The sequence below is a fragment of the Homo sapiens genome, chromosome 2, assembly GCF_000001405.40.
Source record: "Homo sapiens chromosome 2, GRCh38.p14 Primary Assembly".
NCBI classification, from domain to species: domain Eukaryota; kingdom Metazoa; phylum Chordata; class Mammalia; order Primates; family Hominidae; genus Homo; species Homo sapiens.
In genome coordinates this window covers 131,232,728-131,252,750 of record NC_000002.12, presented here as the reverse complement: position 1 = coordinate 131,252,750, position 20,023 = coordinate 131,232,728, and the positions used below count along the sequence as shown (strand labels likewise).

At 37.1% G+C, this 20,023-nt stretch overlaps 1 protein-coding gene across 5 annotated transcripts in view; it reads right to left on the bottom strand.

Moving 5' to 3' along the window:
* POTEE (POTE ankyrin domain family member E) overlaps positions 1-20,023 on the bottom strand; it is a 55,743-nt gene that overhangs the window by 12,528 nt on the left and 23,192 nt on the right. For 2 of the 5 annotated variants that reach the window (NM_001083538.3, XM_047444421.1), the window contains 6 exons: positions 15,949-16,019; positions 14,513-14,557; positions 13,307-13,473; positions 7,274-7,344; positions 1,903-1,973; positions 181-225 (listed from right to left, as the gene is read on the bottom strand). In NM_001083538.3, coding sequence (NP_001077007.1) covers positions 181-225; positions 1,903-1,973; positions 7,274-7,344; positions 13,307-13,473; positions 14,513-14,557; positions 15,949-16,019 — 470 coding nt within the window. The remainder of the gene's footprint in view (positions 1-180; positions 226-1,902; positions 1,974-7,273; positions 7,345-13,306; positions 13,474-14,512; positions 14,558-15,948; positions 16,020-20,023) is intronic. The other 3 variants (XM_047444419.1, XM_047444420.1, XM_047444418.1) reach the window with 3 other exon arrangements.

The window sequence follows — 20,023 nt, the reverse complement described above, 5'->3', positions numbered from 1 at the left end:
CTAGGGTTTGCACCTCTTCAAAATTCAATGTACAGAATTCTGAGTTAACTATTTAATTTTTCACTGATGATTTATGCTACTTACATGATAGGATCATGTATGCCTACATTTACTACACTTTGTTAAACAACATAATGTAAAAATCTAATTCAACACAAACGTTTGAATATAAAGGTATACCTCTCTATCACCATCCTTATTTATTTCTGGTTCTTGAGATCTTTTCTGCAGATGTAAAAACAGAAGGTTAATTTGCTTGCTGTATTTCTGTGACATTTCCTCTTTTGGAGTGCATGTTTTTAAAATAATTTTATTCTGAAGTAATCAAGTATGGACAATAAAAATTAGAAAGTAATTAAAATTAAACTGTTAAAATAAATAATAATTAAAATTAAGAATTAACTTTTTAATCTATGTTTAGCTACTGCCACATCACTGGCTTCTAACATGTGAAAAATAATTCACCTTAGACAAAGGGAGAAGAAAAACATGAACCAGCAAACTTAACTTTCTCACTATTTGTTTGGACTAAATTTAATTTGTTATGTGTTAAATCTACCAAAAATGAATCAGCAGATGATTTGTAGTGTTCCAAAATCTTCCTCACTTGAAAAGAGTTTACCTCATGAAACCCTAACTAGTGAGCACCTACAGTGCACTGAAGTGCTTTTTTAAAAGATTCCTAACTGGATTGTAGGCACCCTTTAAACTATTAGGAGCCGAAATCAACACCAAACAGAAAGAAATGCAAATTCTCACATTTTAATTGAAATTATATACTGTCATATGATAGTGTTATGTATCCAGATTATCTGCGTAAGTCCAGTTCTAATATATTCTAATGTGTACTAATGACAGCAGATAAAATTTTTTAATCTCTACTGATTTTCTGCAACTGAAATAAATTAGAATGTTATTGTGTTTGTGCACTAACACCAAAGGTCCCATTCTGCAAGATATGGTTCTTGTAATAGGCAGTTGGGTTGCTTTTATGACCTGGTTCCCTCCCTGAACAGAAACACTGAGGTCAACGAGAGACCACAAGGCAGGATATGTCCTTAACCTTGGTATCAGTGACTGACAATATAAAACTGTGGATTTTCAATCACAGGCCATGATTACTCTTTAACCATGAATCCAGCTCAGGGAATCAGTGTTACATTGTTCATAATTCCTATTGCTTAATAATATGATTCAATCATTGATGTTACTTTCTTTATCATGTTAGGGTGTTGTAAAAATAAAAGAACAAACAAAGTTCTGAAATTTGTTTTTGCCTCTATTCCAAAAGGAGAGATTAGCTATAAGCTAATCAAGAAGGCAGATAAGAATATTTTAAAATAAGAGTATTTTAAATTTTATAGTGGGTTATGTTGAAGTTAAATATCAAATATTAAATTAGAATCTATTGATTCTTCTGTTAATAAGGTTGCTGATTTTATTACAATAAATTTTAAGAATCTATTAAAATTTTTTTTTTTTTTTTTCACATGGAGTCTCGCTCTGTCACCCAGGCTGGAGTGTAGTGGTGGATGTCGGCTCACTGCAAGCTCCCTCTCCTGGGTTCATGCCATTCTCCTGCCTCAGCCTCCCGAGTAGCTGGGACTACAGGCACCCACCACCACGCCCAGCTAAGTTTTTGTATTTTTACTAGAGACGGGGTTTCACCATGTTAGCCAGGATGGTCTCGATCTCCAGACCTCGTGATCCACCTGCCTCAGCCTCTCAAAGTGCTGGGATTACAGGCGTGAGCCACCTTGCCTGGCCAAAAGATTCTTAAAAAAACAATCTACTGATTCTCAAAGCCTAGTCTGAAAGGTAATTTCATTTGGACTATCTAATATTATTAAGGCAAAAAAAACACAACATTAAACAAAAGTTTAAATTTAAAAGTTTCCATGCCTCTGGCTGGCCATTTTCACTGCCTTTAAGCCTTTGTGACTCTTCCTCTGATGTCAGCTTTAAGTCTTGTTCTGTTGAAAAATCCATACATTCAGTTAAAATCAACCACTTAAAACAGTTAAAAACTATTGCCTTTTAAAAACAGATTTGAGACATTTCATTTTATTTCATAAATTGAGTGTTTCATCTTTTGTGAAATTGTCATTTAAGAAATAATTCTCAAAAACTTCAAAAACCCACTTGGGGAGATAGCAGATGTCACCAGATTGAAGACAAACAAACATGTCAAAAATTCCCTCACAAATTCATCCACCCAACATCCATGAACAAAACCACCAGAAACACAGCTTTAAAATACAGTAGAAACATATAAGGTGACACAGTGTACTGTTCTCCACTTCCTAATAGTACCTTATAAATGATTTCCAAAATCACTGCTGACACCTTTATTAGTGTACAACATCTTCCTAATATCTAAAATGTTTCTCTCCACTATTCTGACAAATTTATTTTCTTTTTTTCTTTTTTCTTTTTTTTTTTTTATGAGCTAGAGTCTTCCTCTGTCACCAGGCTGGAATGCAGTGGTGTGATCAGCTCACTGCAACCTCCGCGACCCTGGTTCAAGTGATTCTCCTGCTTCAGTCTCCTGAGTAACTGTGATTACAGGCAAGCACCACCACACCCAGCTGATTTTTGTATTTTTAGTAGAGATGGGGTTTCACCATTGGACAGGATGGTCTCGATCTCCTGACCTCGTGATTCCCTCTGAAAGTGCTGGGATTACAGGTGTGAGCCACCACACCTGGCCTTATTTTCATCTTTTGAAACAATGCTATATGAAGTTTTCCTTGATTCTGCATGTCTTTCCCCAAATAAACAGGTACCTCCTTCCTTGAGGCTGCCTTAGTACTTTACTGATTTTTCTACTGCATCTTGACCACCTAAACTGTACATTATTCCTCCACGTCTGTCCCCTCTGCTCCAAGACTGCAGGGGAGAGTCTTGCACATCATCTTTGTAAAAACAGTCTTTGTTTTACTCAGAAATATTTTATTGAGTCCTGCTAAATACATGCTAGGCATTAGGGTTTAAAAAGAATTAAAATAAAGCATGTCAGAGATGGCTTTTCTAGAACACATGCCCAAGCAGAGACTTAAATATTGAGACTAGCCAGATTAAAAGGTGTAGAGGGCAGGAAAGGGTGACGGCATGCCACGCAGCAGCAAGAGCGGGAGCGACTCCTGAAAGAGTGAAAGTATTTGCCTACAATAGAAGGATGAGTGAGTAGGGCACTGCCAGCAGTTCAGTAATGCCAGAGACAGGGCACACAGGGAAAAGGGCTAAAGATGGAGAGTGGGGCAGAAGTCAGATTATGAAAGCATTATGTGTAATTTTAAGATGCTTGAACATTAATGTTCAAAAGTGGTCCCGGGTCCTATCTGCATTTAGATATAGATCATTTCAATGCCAAAACCAATATTCCTAGTGAACAATTATTCATTAAGACAAGGTGACAGATAGCTCATGTGGACACAGCTGAGATGATACAATGTAGCAAATTCTAAACAATTCTCATGAACACTTGGAAAGTCAGTTCTATAATAAAGTCATACAAATTATAATAAATCAGTAAATATTTGGTTTCGGAAGATGCTTTGTAAAGTTATAATGCATATGAATACAATTAACAGTCGTGAATTCAGAGCTGTGAAAATAAATCAAAGAAACCACATTGTGTTTGAGTCAGCAATCTTTAGATTTCTATCCAGTCTTCCCATCCAGTCCATAAATTCTAAGTATAATCCTGGTACTCACTCTCAAGTTTACGTTAAATACTATCCCATTACAAAAAAACACTCTTTCTCTTACTTCTTTTCATTATGTCCTGCTAAAAAGATTCTGATTGGCTGCAGGCGGCAAGAGGGAAAAACACAAAGCACATTTTGCAGAAAATGATTATTTAGAAGTCAGAACTATGACATGAAGCCAAGCAGGGCACTCTAGGACCGAATTTGCTGTGCTGCCTTCATACGCTCCTTGCTCTTTCTTTTCTGGCAGCTGTGACTCACACAGGTCATGGAGAGTATCATTCCCTAAGAGGAACAACTCCGATATTCATCTTTATCTATTAAGTTCATCTGTCCCAATTCTGTGTTCTGTGGATGCTGACTTTCTGTCACGGACGATGATGCACATGGACATTTATTACTGACTTTCAGATTCTTGGATCTTTGACAAGTCTTATTACTTAGAGTCAAACTAGTAGGATGCGAGTTATAAATGCTGATTATCCAATTACCTACTCAAAATACCCTACACGAATATTCCATTAAACATGCATCGAAAAACATTAGTCATTCCTGCTGACCTGCTGCTCTTTGCTCTTCTGTATTCACCAGAAAATTTCCTACTCCTTCCTCATGTCCAGGTTAAATACTAGTGTGCAATCTGGAAACCTGTACATCATCTGAGATTTCTCTCTGTCCCCCAAGCCTTTCTCATTCAATTATCACTAAATCATATTGACTATACCTCTCTTCTGCCTCTGTTTTATATTCCCACTGCCACTGGGAACACAAACATTTACAAAATGACTTCTATTTAAAAGAAAACTGCCAACTATTAATGTTATTTCTTACAGGAAAAAAAATTAAGCAAAACAAGTGAAAAGGGCATAACGAAGGCCAACATAGTAAAATGAGTAACTGAGATTTCTAACGTTATTTATTTCACCATGGACGGGTGAAAACCTTGTAATACATTGATGCTACTCCAAGGATGTGTGACATGGAAACTATAGCTGACTACTGCAAAAGCTTCCTTTGTCTCCTGGTTTCTTTGCATGATTATCTCCCATCAATCCCAGGAAACTATAGGCCACAGGCCAAATCCAATCTGCATTATGGTTTTGTAAATAAAGTTTTATAGGAGCTCAGTCATGCCTGTTTGCTTACATATAATCATGGTGGCTTTCACACTACAACAGCAGACAACAGCACGGTTAAGTAGATATGACAGAGACCACATAGTCCAAAATATTTCCCACCTGGTCCTTTAAAGAAAAAGCTTGCTAACCCATTTTACACCATAACCAGAATGCCTTAATACTCAAATTTAATCTTGTGGCTCCCCTGCTCAAATTTCTCCAATGAGCCCCCTCCAGCACACATTGTTGGCTCCCTATCAATAGCCATTCCTCATTCTTTCTGGCAGAAAAAACATAAGTCTATTGGGATATTTAATATCCCAATCCCCCTCCTCAGCCTCAGAAAGAAATGTTTATTCTAAGCTAATCAGATATTTACCTTCCCAGTGCCTGGTTTGGGAATGAGCATGTGGTATGACCCAGCCAATGAAATGTTACAGGAAGCCCCTTGCATGCTTCTAAGTTTTCTCCCTGTTTAAAAGACACATGTGAAGAAAAGCAGCCCTTTCGATGTTGTGTTGTGAAAACAAGATGTTTGGAGCTGCTGCAGATTAGCCAACCACAAAAGGAGACGTGAATAAAACACTGTCAACAGCACAGCTGAAAGAGGGACAAGTGGGATCCCTAGGATATCAATGAACAAAAAAACAACTCTGGTTCCTAGTGTTTTAGGCACTGCTCATCTAGTATTTGCAGTCCAAAGCATTCTACCTGGTAAATTTCCCATGGCCCACAGGAAAAGACCTACTCATTTCTATAGTATTAAAAAGTCTATCGTAAACTTGCCTTAGCTAAGTATTCACCTCACTCCCAACCTCTGGTATCTCACACTTTTGGTACTAGCAAAAGTGAACTGCTCAGAAACCCTGCCATGTTCACTCAAGCATCTTGTCTTCTGCACTTGCTGCTCTTCCTCCCAAACGGGCAATCTCATTAGATGTTCCTTCTGGCAAACACACTATCTCACTCCATGTTCCTTCTGCCAAATGTCATTCCTCTGCTTCTTTCCCTGAAAAATTCTTCTCACTCTGCATGCTTACATTAAATCCTGCCTCCTTTCTTTCTAAAGCTTTCACTCCTCATCACATATGTCTGGCACACAATCAATATCACATATAATAAATCATAATTATAAGATTCCAGTGGGCATCTAGCACACAGTAAGCACTGAATAAAGCAGCAAAATAATAAAAATGACAATGATAATAATAACAAGCTCCTGTCTGTTTTTGTGTTCTGTAGCCTTAGAAAAACTGCTTAGTATCTAAAAGACATTTGACAGTTATTTGTTAAGTGGACAAGTGAAAACATAAATAAAAATGTTTTCTTTGTAAATTCTGTTGAAAAACCACAGAAATGAAATAGAAACACTTCTGTTGTGAGCACCTTAAAGATTAAAACTACATCTATTCCATCTTTGTCTCCTGCAACTTATAAAACCTAACTTACAGAAGCTCTTTGACAAATAGGTAGCTAAATTAAAGGTGTCCTCATACAGTTTGGATTGTACCATGTATTAGGTGTCCACATCCAGGTAGCATACTAGCATTTTTGTTACTGTGAAACATTTTTATATTTTTATTATAATCTGCTGACCCTTGCATTGGGAAAATTGTACATTATGACAATCTTTTGGCAAATGGTAGCAGAGCACCTTCTTCTAACAAAATTACTGTTATCATGACAATTAACCAGCCGGTGGAAGAACACATCTTGTTCCAACAAAGTAAATGCATCTCTTTCAACTTCAAAATAGGAGGAATGAAGTCAGTAACAGTGAGACCTTGTTGGCACAAGCATATGTAACATGACCTGTGCTTCACTGTTCTTTTGTGAACAAAAATTCCTTACTTTTACTTTTTAAATCTATGGTAGGACCTCCCAGAGCAGGGCTCCACAACTCCCCGGCCACAGACTGGTACCAGTCCACGGTCTGTTAGGAACCACGCCACACAGGAGTAGGTGCGCAGCAGGCAAGCCAGGGAAGCTTCATCTGTATTTACAGCCACTCCTTATGATTCATATTACAGCCTCTACTCTGTCTCCAGTCAGATCAGTGATAGCATTAGATACTCATAGGAGCATGAACCCTGTTGTGAACTGCCCATCTGAGGGATCTAGGTTGTGTGCTTCCTATGAGAATCTAATGCCTGATGATCTGTCACTGTCTCACTTTGCCCCCAGAAGGGACCATCTAGTTGCAGAAAAATCAGCTCAGAGCTTCCACTGATTCTACATTATGGTAAGTTGTATAATTATTTTATTATATATTACAATGTAATAATAATATAAAGTAGCACAATAAGTGTAATGTGACTGAACAATCCTGAAACCATCCCCACCTTCCCCCAGCCCATGGAAAGATTGTCTTCCACAAAACCGGTCCCTGGTGCCAAAAAGATTGTGGACAACTGACCTAAAGTAATTCACTATCACAAGTCTTACCTGGGTTGCTGTTTTCAGAAGAGTATTTTGGCATCTGCTTTTCTTTGTAGTCAGAAAGTAATTCACAAATTCTATGTATAAAAATATAACAAATAAAATTACTGTTTTAAAATACTGATCTGGAAACTTACCAAATGTAAAATTCTTAGAGTATTTCAAACAATATCAGAATATCAGAACTTAACAGTATTATCCCATCCACTTATGCGTACGTTCTACAAACTTCTCATGAAGCTTCTAATTAAAGAAGAAAAAAAAGTAAGATGAAATACTCATAAATCGAGGGCACTGTGACCCAGTAAATTAACTTGCATTAGCCTGACATAATAGAAAGTGTCCCAACTCTAAATAAGTCCTAGCTCCATAATGAACAGCTATTTGCTCTTGAACAAGCTGCTTCTCTTAGGCTCAATGTCTTCTACAAAGTGAGGACTATGCTGCCTTATTTTACTAGGTTGTTATAATGATTTAACACGATAACATTTTTTTAAATGCTCAAAGAAATAGTAAAACAATGGAATAATTTGTTCCTAAACTTTATGACTGAAATTATCTTGGAATCCCAAATAAAACCCAGTGCGAATTTTGTTCATAGGTTCTAATATGCAAATGTTGTAGTTTTCAGGAAATGTTATTAAGTCCTAATTTTGCTTCTTAGTTGTCCTACTCTTTATGGCTTCTAATTCAGGGCATCTCAACTATGTCATAGTTTGTAACTAAATTTTTTCATAAATATCTCATTAAAGTAGATAATGTGATTGTCCACTATTACGGAGTTGATCAATCACGCCAAGGGCAGAAAAACCAATGGATGTCAAGACCTGACTTGGACCAATGATCCTTCTCTACAGACTCAAACTCTCAGCCAGATGTTTGTTACGATGATGCTTTATATACATGTTCATCTCCAGCTGACATGGGAGACGAAAACCCTACTTTTATTTTTTTTTAGGTTCCACGAAGAAGTTGTAAGTTGCCATTCTCTAATTTTTAACATACATACTAACAATATATTTGGTACACAACACCCCACACGTTATTTGGCTCTGGTGTCATCTCACAGACCACCTTACATGACTATTTTTATTGCGCAAATCACAATTTCAATGTTTTTGTGGCACCCATTCTGCTTTGATTCACACCATTTCCTTAAAGCTACTCAGCAAACAGTCAAATGACCTTCCAGTGACTGCGCAAAATATAGAATGCTTCAAAAATTTGTGTGGCCGCCTTATGCAAGGGCCAGCTCCTTGGGAGGCTGAGGCAGGAGAAATGCATGAACCCACGTTGCAATGAACTGAGATCGCGCCACTGCACTCCAGCCTGGGCGATACAGCGAGACTCCATCTCAAAAAAATAAAATAAAATAAAATAAAATAGTAAAGTTTGCAATTCCTCTGACTCAGTTTACCATAATGACAATTATGATTACTATTAAAGAATAAATAGTGAATAACCACAATATTGGGCTTTTCTCCCTAAATAAAAAAATTAATATAAAGAATGTAGCTTATTACAAAGAGCCAAAACGATTTTAAAAATGCAGACAATTACCAGGCAAAACTGTTAGGACTAAGAACCATGTCAAACTTTTTTTTTTTTTTTTTTTTGAGACGGAGTCTTGCTCTGTCACCCAGGCTGGAGTGCAGTGGCACGATCTTGGCTCACTGCAAGCTCCGCCTCCCGGGTTCATGCCATTCTCCTGCCTCAGCCTCCATAGCAGCTGGGACTACAGGCGCATGCTGCCACACCCGGTTAATTTTTTTGTATTTTTAGTAGAGACGGGGTTTCACTGGTCTCCACCTCCTGACCTCATGATCCACCTGCCTCGGCCTCCCAAAGTGCTTTGATTACAGGTGTCAGCCACCATGCCCGACCCATGTCAAACATTTTTAAAGTGAGAATCAATCAAACAATATACACAGGATAAACTCCATTCACTTATTTAATAAGTATTTATTAGGTAGCTACATCCAATATGCTAAGCCTTTTTCTAAGCAGTGAAGATATGGTAGTGAAAAATAAAAACCCTATTCATGACAGTGAGAAAAACACACAATAACAACAGACAGATAAGGCAAAATATACGGTATGTTAGAGGAGAAAAACTAAAGCAGGAAAATGAAATGTTTATGTGTTTGATGGGGAGGGTGGTGGGAAAGTTGAGATGGCCAGAAGAGTCCCTGCTGAGAAAGGGTTTTTTTTTTCTAATACAAAAAACCTTTTATTTGTATATCAAAGACTCTAAGAAACGATGACATAAGGTTAACAGCGTTGATGTCAAGATACAAATAGGTTTGAAGTTAGAGATGATAAATCACTTTGTTTCATTGAACCTTGCCTTGATTACCTTAGAGAGCATTCCTTGTATGCTGCCAATTGCATCTTAAGCATGATGCGTCTGGGTAGTACACGGTTCTTCCTCAGAAAGTGGATGTTCCTTAATGTGTTTCTTTTTACCCTTTGTCTTCTTCTTCTTAGAAAGGCGGTTTTAAATAAAGAACTGAAGGAATGGAAAGAGTTAAGCTAGGAGGATATCTGGGGGAAAAGCATCCCAGACACAGGGAACTGCCAAGCACAGAGGTGTGTCTGGAGTCTTTAAGCACTAGGGGTAGATACGGGATGGCAAGAATTCAGTGTGGCTGAAGCAGAGCAAGGGAGATAATCAGGAGGAACTTTGACCCATACTCAGAGTGAAAAGGAGGCAATCAGAAGTGCTGGGGAAGAGGAATGACACAATTTGACTTATGTTTTAAATACATCCACTGAGTTAAGAATTGATGAAAAGGGAAGTTTTTAAAAGCCAGGACGATCAATTCCCAGTCTATGACACTCATGACTGCAGATGACAGTGGCTCAGATGTACAAGATATGACTGGCTTCTGGTCATATTCTTCAGGTAGACCTGACAAGATTTACTGAAAGATTAGATATGAGGTGTCAGAGGGACAGATGAGTCAAGAATGACAATGACATTTTTGGCAGAGCAATTGGAAGAGTTGCCCTTAACCAAAGTAGGAAAGACTACATGAGGTGTAGATTTCAGGAAGGACATCAGTAGCCCAATTTTGGATCTGACAAGTGTGTGATACCCAATAACTAACCAAATAGAGACGTCAAGTAGGCAGGCTGATATAAAAAATCTGGAATTAAGGAGAGAGATCTGAGCTGGAGACATACATTTGGAAATCACTAGCATATACACAACAGAAAAAGTCATGAGGGGCCGGGTGCAGTGGCTCACACCTGTAATCCCAACACTTTGTGAGGCCAAGGCAGACAGATCACCTGAGGTCAGGAGTTTGAGACCAGGCTGGCCAACATGGGGAAATGCTGTCTCTACTAAAAATACAAAAATTAGCCAGGCATGGTGGCACACACCTGTAATGCCAGCTACTCAGGAGGCTGAGGCAGGAGAATCACTTAAACCCAAGAGGCAGAAGTTGTAGTGAGCTGAGATCACACCACTGAACTCCAGCCTGGGGGACAGAGTCAAACTCCGTCTCAAAAAAAGAAAAAGAAAAAGTCAGGAGAAAGAAGACTGAGGACTGAGCCCTGGGAAACAACAATGTCCAAAAGGAGAAAGATGAGGAGGAGCAAGCAAAACAGACCATGATGAATGGACTAGAAATGCAGGAGGAAAAGCTTGAGGGAGTGAGGACCTGAAAGCCAAGTGAAGACGCCGTTAGGGAGGAGACGCCCTCCACTGGCTCAAATATTGCTGACAGATTAAATAAAATGAGGTGTAAGAAAAATGCATAATTTACAGAAAAAAATTGTGATAATCTTGAGGAAAAACAATGTTGGAGGACTGCTGAAATTGAAGACGCCGGTGTGAGATTAAGAGTGAATGAAAAGAAAATTTGAGTTCGTGAGTGTGGACAGTTCTTTTAAGGACATCATGCTTAGGAGTCATGACTGAGAATGTTGTAATTTTCTTCCACAGTCATGGAAAAGTAATAGACAAATAGTTTCAAGTTTTATATAACAGGTGTAGTTTTCAAATTTTATATAACAATTATATATTTTAAAGGTTATAAAAATTATACACATGTGGCATTAAAAATGCCAGACTGAGGTGTTAAATTCTTAAAACTATAGAACTAAAAGTCGCCTTGAACATTTCTAGATTACACATAAGCTGATTATCATTTTATTCATGCTTATACATAAAGACCAAGAAATACTAAAAGTTTCAAGGAGAGTATTTCTTGCTTGATAAAATCAGCCAATTCTAGGAAAACTGATACTCATCAAATATACAAAATAATTCATCACAGCAAAATACTGGGTTCTATTAACAGGAATAAAGTGGGAGAAATGCAGAAAATAATCTTATTTTATAAATGAAATTTTTAAAATTATATGAAGTCACTGTGGAAAAATATGGTGAGGTGAATACTGAAATATATCCTTTTCTCAAAGGAAGGATAATTTCACACACGCAGGGCACTTTTACAAATAGGAGTCACTTCACTTGCAGCACCTTCCTTTTAGCACAAGGGTCAGCAAATTAGCACCTTGGGCCAAATCCAGCCCACTGCCTGTTTTTGTAAGTCAAGTATTTTGGAACACAGCCATGCTTATTCACTTTACAGTCCACAGTGTCAATTAGCTGGGTGTGATGTTGCACACCTGTGGTCCCAACTAGTAGAGAGGCTGAGGTGGGAAGATCACTAGAGCTCAGAAAGTCAAGACTTCAGTGAGCCATGATCACACAACTGCACTCCAGCCTGGGAAACAGAGTGAGACCCTGTCTCAAAAATAAATTAATTTATATAGTCCACAAAGCCTAAAATATTTACTAACTGGCTCTTTGCAGAAAAAGCTGGCCAACTCCTGGTTTAGCAGATGAAAGATCCTTTGATATATTTTAATAAAAGTTTTACCCAATATACTGAAACGTTTATATTAAATACAGATCCCCATGTACAATCCCTTGGCAATATTCAGATTGAGGGTCCAATATTTCAGCACTCAGGCACTGACAATAAAAATTTAATGACTAGCAATCTTGTTGCTAACAAGGTACAGCGTCAATATAGCATGTAGCTTCCATTTGCAACACAGGAAATATTACAAGAATTTTAACAAGAACTCTTAAGATGTCATCACTGATGCTTTAAATACACTTTAATTGTGAAATAATCAGTATACTCTAGATCTAACCTCACTTGTAAAAAATGGTTGCATACTACATTAATTTCTGGGTATGAAAATTGAGCTATTTCCAATTGGTAATGATTTACTTTTGATAATGATAATTTCCTATTGATAAGGATCCATCTTTTTGATATAATAATGCTGTAATAAATGTCCTTATACATAAGTATATATGTAACAAATCTACACAAATATCCTTTACATATATTATATATCCTTATTGTTATACATGTGTTTGTGAATATGCTACTAAATTAATGTTCAAAATGTATTTACCAGCAGTGTATGAAATGTCTTTTACAATGAAACCATTTCTTTTGCAGCAACACAGATGGAGCTGGAGGCCATTATCCTAAGCAAACTAATGCAGGAACAGAAGATCAAATGCCACATATTCTTACTCATTAGTGGGAACTAAATAATGAGAACTCATGGACACAAAGAGGAGAATAACAGGCACCAGGGTCTACTTGAAGGTGGAGCGTCGCGGGAGGGAGACGACCAAAAAACTAACTTTTGGTGTTTTGCTTATTATGTGGCTGATGAAATAATCTGCAGTCCAAATCTCCATGATACACTTTACCTATATAATAACCCTGCACATGTACCCCTGAAACTAAAAGAAAAGTTCACTAAAAAGAAAAGAAAATGCCTTTTCCCTCACATTTGCCAATACTGGTTATTTTTCAAATAAATTAATGCCTGGAAAAATGGTAACTCATTGTTCGCTGATTTTCATTTTTCTGATTAACGGGCAAGGCTGAATATCCTAGTAAAACTATAAAATTTGTTCATCATGAATATTAGCCCAAATTAGGGTTAGTTTGACAGCACATAGTTATCTTCTATTCAATGTTGCCATAGGCTTACCTGTGATACTCTTCACTTTCGTTGTCAGGAAATTGCTGATTTTCAGGTGTTCTGCTCTTCCTTTGAGGAATTAATCCATTATCACCATTGCCAGCAGTGACACCATTAGTCAGGTTTTCTAGTAATCCCACATTATTACTTTCATGCTTCTTCATTTCTTCTTCAACCTTGAGTGGGATATTAAGGATAGTTATCACTTTATTGAATAAAAAGAACCTTTTTAATTGATTCTATCAATTGACTCAGTTTGTCATTATTTTAGTCATTAAAAATATTTCACACTTAAATTTGATCATATATATAGAAATATTACCATATAACTTTAAGATGTAATTATCATCTCATTAATATATCACAGAAATTTTTGTAAAGTTTGCTTCATTTCTGTTTCAATGAATGAAACAGAATTTTCCAAAATTCAAAAAGGGCCCTCCTTCATTTTGTGCTTTTATTCTCAATCACTCTTCAGAATCTTATGTATGTATTTACCCCATTTGATTCATGGGAACACACAAATAAAAAGACAAAGATGCAAAATGTGTCCTCTTCCGTCTTTACCACCTAGATTTTACATTAAACAGTCAGATTTAGAGGATGACACACTGTGCGGCTTCAGGAATAGAAAGGAAGTTTGCCCTTTTCTGCGCTAAGATATTCTTCTACCCCACTGCCTTTGAGCATTCTTTTTTCATTTGGTTGCTGGGATATCAAAAACATGATGGTGCTCACTGAAAATGGGAGCCAAAGTTTGCCACAACACAAGAAGCAGAGTGAAACTGCTGACGTGCAAGCATGGAATTCCAGAAAATGAGATGCTCCCCAAATTTCACATTGAATAGCCATACAATTTTCTAGCTGGAAGATACACAGAATAAAAAGCTATCTTCTTTAGCCACATTATCTATTGATAATCAGACTAAAACCAAGAAAGATAAAATGATTGGTCCAAAGCTCCTAAAGTGGCATTACCTAGCATTTTATAGCACCATTCAGGATTGTTCCATAATAATCAAAGAATATCTCTAGGCTTTGTATCTCTTGAAAACTCAATGTACAGAATTCTTTCTGAGTTAAATATTAACTTTTTCACTGATGATTTATGCTACTTACATGATAGGATCATGTATGCCTACACTTACTACATTTTGTTAAACAACATAATGTAAAAATCTAATTCAACAGAAACATTTGAATATGAAGGTATACCTCTCTATCACCATCCTTATTTATTTCTAGTTCTTGAGACATTTTCTGCAGAGGCAAAAACAGAAGGTTAATTTGCTTGTTGTGTTTCTGTGATGTCTCCTCTTTTGGAGCGCATGTTTTAAAAAAATTTTATTCTTAACTAATCAAGTATGGACAATGAAAAATTAGAAAATAATTAAAATTAAAATTTAACTGTTAAATAAATAATAATTAAAATTAAGAATTAACTTTTTAATCTATGTTTAGCTACTGCCACATTACTGGCTTCTGACTAACATGTGAAAAATAATTCACCTTAGCCCAAGGAAGAAAAAAAACGTGAACCAGCAAACTTAATTTGGTCACCATTTGTTTGGACTAAACTTAATTTGTTATGTGTTAAATCTACCAAAAATGAATCAGCAGATGATTTGTAGTGTTCCAAAACCTTCCTCACTTGAAAAGAGTTTACCTCATGAAACCCTAACTAGTGAGCCCCTACAGTGCACTGAAGTGCTTTTCTAAAAGATTCCTAACTGGATTGTAGGCACCATTTAAATTATTAGGAGCCGAAATCAACACCAAACAGAAAGAGATGCAAATTCTCAAATTTTAATTGAGATTATATACTGTCATATGATAGTGTTATGTATCCAGATTATCTGCGTAAGTCCAGTTCTAATATATTCTAATGTGTACTAATTACAGTGGATAAAGATTTTTTAATAATATGTACTAATTTTCTGCAACTGAAATAAATTAGAATGTTATTGTGTTTGTGCACTAACACCAAAGGTTCCATTCTGCAAGATATGATTCTTGTAATAGGCAGCTGTGTTGCTTTTATGACCTGGTTCCCTCCCTGAACAGAAACGCTGAGGTCAACGAGAGACCATAAGGCAGAATATATTTTTAACCTTGGTATCACAGTGACTGACAATATAAAACTGCAGATTTTCAATCACTGGCCATGATTACTCCTTAACCATGAATCCAGCTCAGGGACCATCAGAGTTACATTGTTCATAATTCTATTGCTTAATAACATAATCCAATAATTGATGTACCTTCTTCATCATGTTCGGGTGTTGTAAAAATAAAAGAACAAAGTTCTGAAATTTGTTTTTGCCTCTATTCCAAAAGGAAAGATTAGCTATAAGCTAATCAAAAAGGCAGATGAGAGTATTTTAAATAAAAATATTATAAGAGTATTTTAAATTTTATAGTGGTTATGTTTTTTAAGTTAAATATCAAATGTTAAATTAGAATCCATTCTTCTGTTAATGAGATTACTGAATTTATTAAAATAAATTTTAACAATCTATTAAAAAATTCTTTAAAAAATCTATTGATTCTCAAAACCTAGTCTGAAAGGTAATTTCATTTGGACTATCTAATATTATTAAAGCAAAGAAAACAACATTAAATCAAAAATTTAAATTTAAAATTTCCCATGCCTCTGGCTGGCTATTTTCACTGCCTTTGAACCTTTGTGACTCTTCCTCTGATGTCAGCTTTAACTCTTGTTCTGTTGAGAAATCCATATATTCAGTTAAAATGAACCACTTAGAACAGTTAAAAACTATTGCCTTTATAAAAATAGATTTAAGACAACATTTTATTTCATAAATTGAGTGTTTAGTTTTTCACGAAATAGTTATTTAGGAAATAATTCTCCCAAACTTCAACAAACCACTTGGGGAGACACCTGATGTCATTCACTCACAAATTCATCCACCCAACATAAATGAACAAAACCACCAGAAACACAACTTTAAAATACAGTAGAAGCATGTAAGGTAACACAGTATGTTGTTCTCCACTTCCTAATAGTGAAGCAGTAAATGTAAAGAAAAGGAAATTTAGTTTTAAAGAGAAACAAGTTTTCCCGCACTTAGCTAGTCTGACTCTAAGGATAGTAACAAGCAGGGCCCAGGAAAGGTCGTGGTGACCCTGCCTGAGAAGCTAGAGCCCACAGGTATGGGCTCCAGACATCCCAGAGCAAGGTTAAGAAAACAAAATCCTTTACTGTCTCCCCTTCCCCTCAGCATTCACTCCGAGCTGTTTTTACAAATGCATACTATTTGCAAGTTCCTGTTGTCCTTCAATGCAGCTGCAAGGTCATAAGCTATGCTGAGGTTGCAAAACTGTCACTATATGATTAACTGCCTTTGTTCTGCTTCTGTAAGCTTGCCTACACAAGCCAAGCCGTGTCTTTGTTCAGGGCTCAGCTTTCGGATGCAAATCTGCTGAGCTGTTGCGAACCTAAATGAAATCCTCCTGTTTCACCCACTTGGTCTCTCCTGCCTCCTGTTTTCTGCAACAATAGTACCTTACAAATGATTTCAAAAATTACTACTGACACCTTTATTAGTGTACAATGTCTTCCCAATATCTAAAATGTTTCCCTCCACTATTCTGACACATTTATTTTCTTTTTTCTTTCTTTTTTTTTTTTTTTTTTTTTGAGCCAGGGTCTTGCTCTGTCACCAGGCTGGAGTGCAGTGGCGCAATCTCAGCTCACTGCAACCTCTGACACTCCCTGGTTCAAGCGATTCTCCTGTCTCAGTCTCCGGAGAAGCTGGGATTACAGGCATGTACCATCATGCCCAGCTAATTTTCATGTTTTTAGTAGAGACGGGGTTTCACCATTGGCCATGATGGTCCTGATCTTTTGACCTTGTGATCTGCCTGCTCCAGCCTCCCAAAATGCTGGGATTAGAGGTGTGAGCCACCACACTTGTCCTTATTTTTATCTTTTAAAACAATGCTATGAGAACGTCTTCCTTGATTCTGCATGTCTTTCCCCAGATAAACAGGTACCTCCTTCCTTGAGGCTGCCTTAGTACTTCACTGATTTTTCTACTGCATCTTTACCACCTGAACTCTACATTATTCCTCCACATGTCTGTCCCGTCTGCTCCAAGACTGCAGAGGACAGTCTTGAGCATCATCTTACTCACATTTTACTCAGAAATTTCTTATTGAGTCCTGCTAAATACATGCTAGGCATTAGGGTTTAAAAACAATTAAAATAAAGCATGTCAGGGATGGCTTTTCTAGAAAACATGCCCAAGCAGAGACTTAAATATTGAGACTAGCCAGATTAAAAGGGGTAGAGGGCAGGAAAGGGTGACGGCATGCCACGCAGCAGCAAGAGCGGGAGCGAGGCCTGAAAGAGTGAAAGTATTTGCCTACAATAGGAGGATGAGTGAGTAGGGCATTGCCAGCAGCTCAGTAATGCCAGAGAAAGGGCACACAGGGAAAAGGCCTAAAGATGGAGAGTGGGGCAGAAGTCAGATTATGAAAGCCTTATGTGTAATTTTAAGATGCCTGGACATTAATGTTCAAGAGTGGTCCCTGATCCTATCTGCATTTAGATATAGATCACTTTAAATGCCAAAACCAATATTCCTACTGAACAATTATTCATTAAGACAAGGTGACAGATAGCTCATGTGGACACAGCTGAGATGATACTATGTAGCAAATTCTCAATAATTCTCATGAACACTTGGAAAGTCAATTCTATAAGAAGTCAGAGAAATTATAATAAATCACTTAATACTTGGTTTGGGAAGGTGCTTTCTAAAGTTATAGTGCCTATGAATTTAACTAATAATTGTGAATTCAGAGCTGTGACAATAAAGCAAAGAAACCACATTGTGTTTGAGTCAGCAATCTTTAGATTTCTATCCAGTCTTCCTACCCAGTCCGTAAATTCTAACTATAATCCTGGTACTCACTCTCAAGTTTATGTTAAATACTAGCCTATACAAAAAACACTCTTTCTCTTTTTTCATTTTGTTATTTATATATTGCTTTGTTTAAAGGAAGAACACAAAAATGCCCTGCTAAAGGGATTCTGTTTGGTTGCAGGCTGCAAGCGGGGAAAAAATCAAAGTGTATTTTGCAGAAAATGATTTTTTAGAAGTCAGAACTATGACATGAAGTCAAGCAGGGCACTCTAGGACTGAATTTGCTGTGCTGCCTTCATATGCTCCTTGCTCGCTCTTTTCTGGCAGCTGTGACTCACACAGGTCATGGAGAGTATCATTCCCTAAAAGGAACAACTCCGATATTCATCTTTATCCATTAAGTTCATCTGTCCCATTCTATGTTGTGGATGCTAACTTTTGATCATTGATGGTGATACACATGGACATTTATCATCAACTTTCAGATTCTTGGATCTTTGACAAGTCTTATTAGTGAGAGTCAAACTAGTAGGATGCGAGTTATAAATGCTGGTTATCCAATTACCTACTCAAAATATCCTACATGAATTTTCCATTAAACGTGCATAGAAAAACATTAGTCATTCCTGCTGACCTGCTGCTCTTTGCTCTTCTGTATTCACCAGAAAATTTCCTCCTTCGTCCTCACATCCAGGTTAAATACTACTGTACAACCTGGAAACCTGGAAATTATCTGACATTTCTCTCTGTCCCCCAAGCCTTTCTCATTCAATTATCACTAAATCATATTGACGATACCGCTCTTCTGCCTCTGCTTTATATTCCCACTGCCACTGGGAACACAAACATTTACAAAATGGCTTTTATTTAAAAAAAAGCCTGCCAACTATTAATGTTATTTCTTACATGAAAAAAATTAAGCAAAACAAATGAAAAAAGCATAACACCAAAAAAAAAAGGCCAACATATTAAAACAAGTAGTTGAGATTCCTAACTTTATGTATTTCACTAAGGACGGGTGAAAACCTTGTAATACATTGATGCTACTCCAAGGATGTATGACAAGGAAACTATAACTGACTACTGCGAAAACTTCCTTTGTCTCCTGGTTTCTTTACAGGGTAAAGAACCTTCCATCAATCCCAGCAAACTATAGGCCACAGGCCAAATCCAATCTGCATTATGGTTTTGTAAATAAAGTTTTATAGGAGCTCAGTCATGCCTGTTTGCTTACATATAATCATGGTGGCTTTCACACTACAACAGCAGACAACAGCAGGGTTAAGTAGATATGACAGAGACCACATAGTCTAAAATATTGCCCAACTGGCCATTTACAGAAAAAGCTTGCTAACCCGTTTTACACCATAACCAGAATGCCTTAATACTCAGATTTAATCTTATGACTCCCCTGCTCAAATTTCTCCAATGAGCCCCTGCAGCACACATTGTTGGCTCCCTATCAATAGCCATTCCTTATTCTTTCTTGAAGAAGAAATCCAAGTCTATTGGGATATTTATTATCCCAATCCCCCTCCTCAGCCTCAGAAACAGAAATGATTATTCTAAGCTAATCAGGTATTTACCTTCCCAGTGCCTGGTTTGGGAATGAGCATGTGGTGTGACCCAGCCAGTGAAATGTTACAGGAAGCCCTTTGCATGCTTCTAAGTTTTCTCCCTGTTTAAAAGACACATGTGAAGAAAAGCAGCCCTTGCGATGTTGTGTTGTGAGAACAAGATGTTTGGAGCTGCTGCGGATTAGCCAACCATGAAGGGAGACGTGAATAAAACACTGTCAACAGCACAGCTGAAAGAGGGAAAAGTGGGATCCTAG